General features: G+C 35.6%; 1 long non-coding RNA gene across 1 annotated transcript; it reads left to right on the top strand.

Annotated features, from left to right (window-relative positions):
• Positions 1 to 249: 249 nt before the first annotated feature.
• On the top strand, positions 250 to 7,758 carry LOC124902017 (uncharacterized). Its single transcript, XR_007061096.1, has 3 exons — positions 250 to 323; positions 6,440 to 6,609; positions 7,605 to 7,758. It is a non-coding gene; the product is annotated as an uncharacterized LOC124902017 (long non-coding RNA).
• The last annotated feature ends 314 nt before the right edge of the window (positions 7,759 to 8,072 follow it).

Here is an 8,072-nt window from a genome sequence, read left to right as displayed (position 1 = left end):
TAGCATAAGTTTAAAAGATGTGAGAGCTGAAGACCTAGGATCTAGTCTCAGGTTTGTGATTTTTAAGGAAATGTCACAGTTAGGATTACCTTATCAGGTAAATGGAGTTAATACCACCCACCTTAATGCAATTATTGTCAGAGCAAAATGAGAAAAGATTGTTCAAACATGTTATTAATAGTTAACATTGTTACCATGTTCCCCATTTTGATGCCTGTGCCCTTGTGAATTTACACTAAAGAAAAGCAAGTCACATCCATGCTGAGGTTTTAAGAGAAGCAAACCAGGAGTGCTTTGATGGAATGACAACTCACTTTTGGAAGGTAGGATCCTTGCTCTTTGGTTATTGTTACAGGCCTTAGACTCAAAGCTGGATGTGAATCTTAGCTCCACCATTTACTATGTGGGTAACTCGGGCAAGTTAATAACTTCATCTATAAAACGGGGGTTAAAATACTTCCTGTGAGAGACTTAAATGATATAATGTGTATGAACCCTTTGGTAGAATATCTAGCTCCTTAATTCTGATTTTTATATTAACGGTTTTATTATTTTCTTAGTTGGTGTGGGCTGCTATAACAAAATACCTTAGACTGGGTAGCTTATAAACAACAAAAATTTATTTCTCATAGTTCTGGAGGCTGGGAAGTCCAAGACTGAGGCACCAACAGATTCAGTGTCTGGTGAAGGCTTTCATTCTGGCTTATAGAGAGCACTTTTTTGCTGTGTCCTCACATGTTGGAAGAAAGTAGCTAGCTCTCTGTGGTTTCTTTTATATGGGCCCATAGGTCTCACTCAATCATTTCCAAAAGGTCCCATCTAGTAATATCATCACCTTAGTTAATAAATTTCAACATATGGATTTTGGGGAGACACAAAGATTCAGAACATAGGAGTTATTATAAGTGTTTTTCAGAATATCTAGATTTACAATATCTAAAACCATAAACACAACCTAAATATAGGCCTGTATTCCAGCTTCACCCAATATTTCCTTCACATTTCAAAATTTTCCACTTTTGTAATAATAGGAAATTAATTCAGAATGCTGACCACATGTGAACCTCCTGCTAGGACCATTGCTAATTTCCTCTTAAGCAGCTTTCCCTGATTTCTTCAGCCCATACACATCTCTCTTGTCTTCGAACATGTAATTGAAATTGCTGCAACATAGTTTGTCATTTATATTTTATCTAAATTCTTATGTACAATTTTGTCTTTCTTCTGTAGATTTTAAGACCCTCCAATGAAGACCATATTTCTCTATACATTTATCTGTAGCCAGTCCTCATTCCCCTGACATTGGCTTCTAGAAATATAATGCCCTCTTAGTAGACTCATATAAGCCTAGTGAATGGATGAGGCAACATACGAGCAATGCAATTCTTTTGTAATCCTTTTGGTATCTAGCACAGTTATAGAAATATAGTAGATCCTCTATATGTATTTTTGAGTAAATGAATGAATGAGAATAAGTAAATATTAACTATTTGATTACCCAAAATAATATGCACTTACAGAAAGTATTTTCTCTAAACAGTTCAAACTAAATTTTCTGTTCTTGTTGCATAGATAAATAATAAAAAGCATTAGATAGAAAAGGCATCATTATGTGGTCTGGCGGGTCATAGACAAAAAGCAACAAGAATAACAGCAATATGTGCATTGGGAAAAAATGTACATTAATAATGATATTGTTGTTTTGAACTGTTAATATAAACACTTCTTTTTTTTCCTGGTAAGGATTTTCTTCTTACCAATATTGTCATGAGCCTTCTCACCCATCTATAACATAGCTAATTCAAAGCAGATTTATTTTGAATTTGTATCTGTACAGATTATGATTCTGTAGTCTCCTCATAATCATTTCAGTAAACAACTTCAAATCCACAAAGCAGTAGAATTGACCCAGAGTTAGTGAACATTTGGTGTTTGGGACGTTTTGTCAATGATTGAATTCAATCTGATTCAATCAAATCAAAGGAGAAATCTTATTTACCCTTCAAGTCTCTATTTCCCAGGCAGCATTAGTCACTCCTTCTCTACTTCCCCAGTACATTCACATATCTCTATTTATTAGCATGTCTTCTTCCCACTCCACAATTTCCTTGGGCTCCTTGAAGATAGGAAATGTGTCTGATTCTTCACACCAGCATGCCACTGACTAGCATGAGGAGAACTTGTTTAATTAGTTACTTCGTGGCCTAAGCTGGGATGCCAGCTCCCATTTAAACCATGTTAAGTGTTAGCTACTTACCCCATCGGGGGCTCCCACAGCTCTTTGTTCATATTTATAATAAGCCATAATAATCAAATCACAGAATGTAAGATTTCCACTTCAGGTTTGTCTTTCTTTCAAACTTCTGAGCTCCTCAAGGACAGAAACTGCCAATTAGCCATCTTTATTTGTGTAGCATTTAGTCCAAGGCCCCAGAGAGTGTTTGATGAATGAGTAAATTAACTAATTTTAAAAACTTTTGTAATATAATCTGCTCACGGTACAAGGACACCTTGATGGTCACATCTACCTTATCTAAAATGTTCTTACAGTCCAGTCCCCAGCAACAGTGCCTAATGGCTTAACTTTGTCTTCAGCACCCCTCTACCTGATCATGCTACCTTCTTTCATACTCTCCTTTTGCTTCTCAATAAAGAGACATTCATACTCCATTCTTAATGAATCTAGGACCTGGGAGATCCTACTCATGTAAAGGGCATTTTCTCTCCAACAACTTGTATCAGTAGATAAGATACTAGGATGAGAACTCTTCTTTACCCCACTATGTGACAGCAGCCCTAATTCTCATAAAAAGCCAGAATCAGTAGCCCTAGACAACTTAGAAGACATGGGTAAATTCCTAGAAACATACAACCTACCAAGACTGGATCAAGAATAAATAGAAAGGTTAAACAGGCCAATAACCAATAAGGCGATGGAATCAGAAAAAAAAAAAAACCTCCCAATAAAGAAAAGCCAAGAACCAGGTGGCTTCACAAGTGAATTCCACCAAACACTTAAAAAAGAATCAGTATCAATCCTTCTTAAACTCTTTCAAAAAATATAAAGAGGAACACTTCTGAACTCCTTTTATGAGACCAGCTTCACCCTGATACCAAAGCCAGAAAAGCATACTATAAGAGAATAAAACTCTAGGCCAATATCCCTGATGAACACAGATGCAAAAATCATCAAAAAATATTAACAAACTGAATTCAACAACACCTTCAAAGGGTTATATATCATGACCAAGTTGGATTTACCTCTGGGATGCAAGGAAATTTCAACATGCATAATTCAATCAATGTGATACACAACAGTAACATAATTAGGAATACAAAGCAGCATATGATCATCTCAATAGATGCAGAAAAAGTATTTGACAAAATTAGACACCATTTGATGATAAAAACTCTCAACAAGTTAGGTATAGAAGTAATGTGCCTTAGCATAATAAAGGTCATATATTATATGCCCATAGACGACATCATACTCAATAAGTAGAGGTTGAATTTTTTTCTCTAAGATCTAGTACAAGGCAAGGATGTCCATTCTCACCACTTCTTTTTAACATAGTACTGTAGATCCTAGCCAGAGCAATTAAGCATGAAAAAGAAATAGAAGGAATACAAATTGAAAAAGAAGAAATAAAGTATTTCTGTTTCCAGATGGCATAACTTTATATGTATAAAAGTCTTAAGACTTTACACTCACATGCACACACACAAAAAAAGGGAGAAGTAATTAACAATTAGAAATTAGAAATAATTGACAATTAAAAATAACTATAAATAATTAACAAATTCAGTAAAAACTAATTACAGGATGCAAAATCAATGTGCAAAAATAAGTAGAACTTTTATACACTGACAATAAACTACCTGAAAATGAAATCAAGGAAACAATCTCATTTACAATAGCACCAAAAAGAATAAAGTATCTTGCAATAAACTTAACCAAAGAGATGAAAGACTTTACACTGAAACTGTAAAACATTAATGAAAGAAATTAAAAGAAAAAATAAATGGAAAGGCATCCCATGTTCATGTATTGGAAAAATCAATATTGTTAAAATGTCTACATGACTCAAAATGATCTACAGATTCAATGAAATCCCAATCCAAATTTCAACAGCATTTTTTACAAAAACAGGGAAAAAATCCTAAAATTTGTATGGCCCTACTAAGGATCCTGAATAGCCAAAGCAATGTTAGCAAGACAAAGCTAGAGGCATGACATTTCCTGGCTATAAATATACTACAAAGCACAGATAATCAAGACACTATGGTACTGGCACAGAAACAAATATATAGGCAAAAGAATAGAATAGAAAGCACAGAAATAAATCCATGCATATATGGTCAACTAGTCTTCTGCAAGGATGCCAAGAATACACAATGGGGAAGGGATAGTCTCAATGGCGTTAGGGCAATTGGATACCCATATGCAAAAAAAAATATGAAATTCCACCGTTATCTTAAAAATCAACTTGAAATGGATTAAAGACTTAAAAATAAGGTCTGCTACTATAAAACTTCTAAAAGAAAATATAGAGAAAATGTCCCTTGACACTGGTCTTGGCAATAATTTTAGGGAGAATATGACACCAAAAACACAAGCAACAAAAGCAAAAGTAGACAAATGAGATCAAAACAAGCTAGGAAGCTTGAAAAGCAAAGGAACCAATCAATAGAGTGAAGAGAAAACCTATGGAATGGGAGAAAATTTTGCATTTTCTCCATTTTTCCATTAAAAGAAAAATAATTTAAATGCCTCTCGGCTACAAAAAGGCCAGACCTGAGTTCATAAAGACTGGCCTTAGAAATGAATGCAAAATATGTACGTCATGATGAGTTTAAGATTGTTCTTCCCCTCTCGTGTCTAAGACTTTGTTACTCAATTAACGCTTATCTACCTGGCTCTGTTTTCAGACTGAGTTTTTTTCTGGATGCTGTTATTTTCTAATGCAAGCCTATACCCTTAGTTTTCCAGCTTGTTTTAATTTCAATAGTCAACACAGCTTAGTCTAAAAATAAAGCTGTTACTCTGCTATTTTTATGTAGCCCATGGAATTATCATATAAAAGAAATTTAGAAAAAAGCCAAATAACACATATCAAGGCACACTTTACTACAGGAAAATTAGTTCTAAACATCATTCAGGAGACCATTTATAGCTGAGCTGTTTACTCTGTGAAATGTGAATAACCCATTTATAAATGTTCAACTGTGATCTAAACATTTCCTGGCCTACGGAAACCGAGATAATGCCATGGGAAGCTCTGGAGTTAGCGTGGCCTTCCAAAGTACTTTCATGATGAGATAATGAACAGTCACCAGGTTTTGGAGTAATGTATCACACAACAGGTAATACAATTACCAAGATTTTATCAAATATCCACATGGTTCTTCACTATTGGCATACTTCCCATCTGAGAAACATTAATTCATTAAATTAGTCCCATTATCTTCAAATGCAATGCCTGTTCTGATTGGTCCCCAAGCACCCTATGTACTGACTGTCACTGAATGCTCACCAGAAGTACCCTCCCCTCTCCCTCTCCACTATACTAAATTTAACTCCTACAAAGTCCACCTTAACTGCCATGACCTCAAGGAGCTCTCTCTGATCCTTTTATACATTACTAGATTCCTCTGGAATACTGCCTCTTCGGCTTGCAGCTAACTCTCTAATACTTGATTAGTGGACTCCAGGTATTTCTGTATTTTAGTTATTTCATCCAACGCATTATACTCTACTGTGTACAATCTGGAGTTAGACCAGAATATACAGAGTACAAAGTAGAGTATAATGCATTGGATGAAATAACTAAATAACCAGATTGTACACAGTAGAATATAAGAAAAAGCCATTTTGACCAATCTTCTTTCTTTTGCAACCCCATGAGACAATAACAATATTGGTTTTCTAGACTTGTCCAAACATACAAATAGCAAGAGACTTTCTATCATATATTTACTCAACTAATATTTTTGAAGTATTTATACTGATGATCCAGGCACCCTGAGGATTCAACAGATTTTTTAAATGACCCTTCTCTTGAGCAACAAATAGTCAAGCACACACACAAAAATAATAATAACAAATTGCTCCAAATGACCTCCCTAGAAGGCTAATCATGTAGGTTCTTCATGAGAGATACATAAGAGCTATGGGTGTCTCAGCTGGGTTTCCTGAGACACAGAAAAGGAGATGATGTTTGGTATGTAGGATGTTTATTAAGAATCAAGCTCTGAAGAGAAGGAAAGAAGCAGAGAAGTGGGAGTGGACAGAAGGAGGAACAAAGCTACAAAATAGGCCCAACAATGAACTCAGGAAACACCATGGGGAGCTCTGGAGTTAGCGTGGCCTTCCAAAGTAGTTTAATCATGGGCCAAAATGACCATGTCTATACACGCTGTTTCATTCATTCATTGACAGTGGACAGACTAGAAGGGAGGTGAACTTGGCTGAGTCAGCTCTCTGCCACCAAGGCAACCCTGAACTGACAGCTACCTGTCGATGGCTCTCCCAGGAGGTGAGGATGCAAATCCTTTTTTAAAAGGGGATCTGAGCATTGGAGAGTCCACCAAACATGGGATGAAGAAATGGTAAGTGCCGACAATGCATCTGCAAGCTTGATAGGTCAAGGAAGGAGAAGACGGTGACCAGAAGGTAAAGGCTTGAGAAGGATTTGGGTGGTGCTGCTTTGTTTCCTTTCTGTACCATAAAATACGACAAGCTAGGACAGAAAGCGATGATCTAGGCGGAAAGAAAGATATAATTAGCAAAATAAAGCAGACTCATTTCTCTTTCCTCCATGCCCAGATAGAACTTTTTACATCTCAATTATAACCCTCAGTAGTCTCCCCCACTGTATGGCAATCTACACACAAGCAGACACCAAAATAATTTTCCAGTGTTTTTCTCTGTGTTTAGAACTGTCTAGAGCACATAGTAAACATGTAACTGTTTGAGTCATGGAATTGAGCATTTAAAAAAATGGGAAACCTAAATTCTTTGAATTTTATTTTTTACTTAACCTAAATAAGGATGCTTAAACATTACACATTTTTGAAGTAATAATGTGTAATGCCTACTGTGTAAATGCCTCTTTCTACTAGAGTGGAGCAAGGCAAAAGGCACAGATGTTTCTTACCATAATTATATTAGATAATTAACCGAGCCAGATTCATGTGGTCCCCAAGAGCTAGTCAACTCATTTTATAAATAAGAAAATCTAAATTGATACATACGCAGCCCAGGAGATTATATATAAGATGAGATTCTGAGACATCTCAAGTCATTATAAAGACTTTCTTCTTCATAATATTTTTTTCTCCTTTGATGTATCTTCTGCGAAAGATGATTAACACACAGCTTATTGGATTGGAAACCAAATAAATCAATGTTGTTTTCTTTAATCCTAGAGAGTTCACAGGAAGAGTTTTTATACAATTTATTTATCTTTAATAATCTCCAATGGACAGATCTTTACAATTGATCAGCCAAGAGTCAGAAAAGAATGAGGGAAGGTCTTCTTACTGTTAACCTTCTTGAGGACTTTATTTCTTGTTGGTGTTTGTGTTGTTTGTTTCCTCTGTAGCTAAAATGAAAAGCGGAATTACAAGAAAGATGTATCTGTGTCTTTCATTCCTGGAACACTGGGGGAATGTAAAAGAAGGTGCATTAATGGAAGAGCATCATCCCAGATTCTTGCACTTCTCCATAGATGCATCTAATCCAGCCTGGTATGTGATAACAGAATACTGATTAGTGAAGAGAATCTTTAATATGAGGCTGTGCAACATGCACCCTTTGGAGAGTTCATGATTATGTAAATCTCTGATTCTATATTGAGGGGTTTAAATGTGATGCACAACAGTAACATACTAAATAGATTGTTTTATTCCAAGTATTAGACCCTGAACACTTACATTTTAAGAAGGAGAAATTGCAAGGAAAAAAACTACAATGTATTTGGAGAAGTTTCGGCCACCAGTCCTAAATACAACCTAGGACGTAGCTATTGTAATGAAGGGGTTGTTGAAACTTATCCAAGATTGTTGCAAGA

Source organism: Homo sapiens, chromosome 8 (assembly GCF_000001405.40).
Source record: "Homo sapiens chromosome 8, GRCh38.p14 Primary Assembly".
In the NCBI taxonomy this organism is placed as follows: domain Eukaryota; kingdom Metazoa; phylum Chordata; class Mammalia; order Primates; family Hominidae; genus Homo; species Homo sapiens.
The sequence above is the reverse complement of the archived record's forward strand: the minus strand, read 5'-3'. Positions and strand labels throughout refer to the sequence as shown.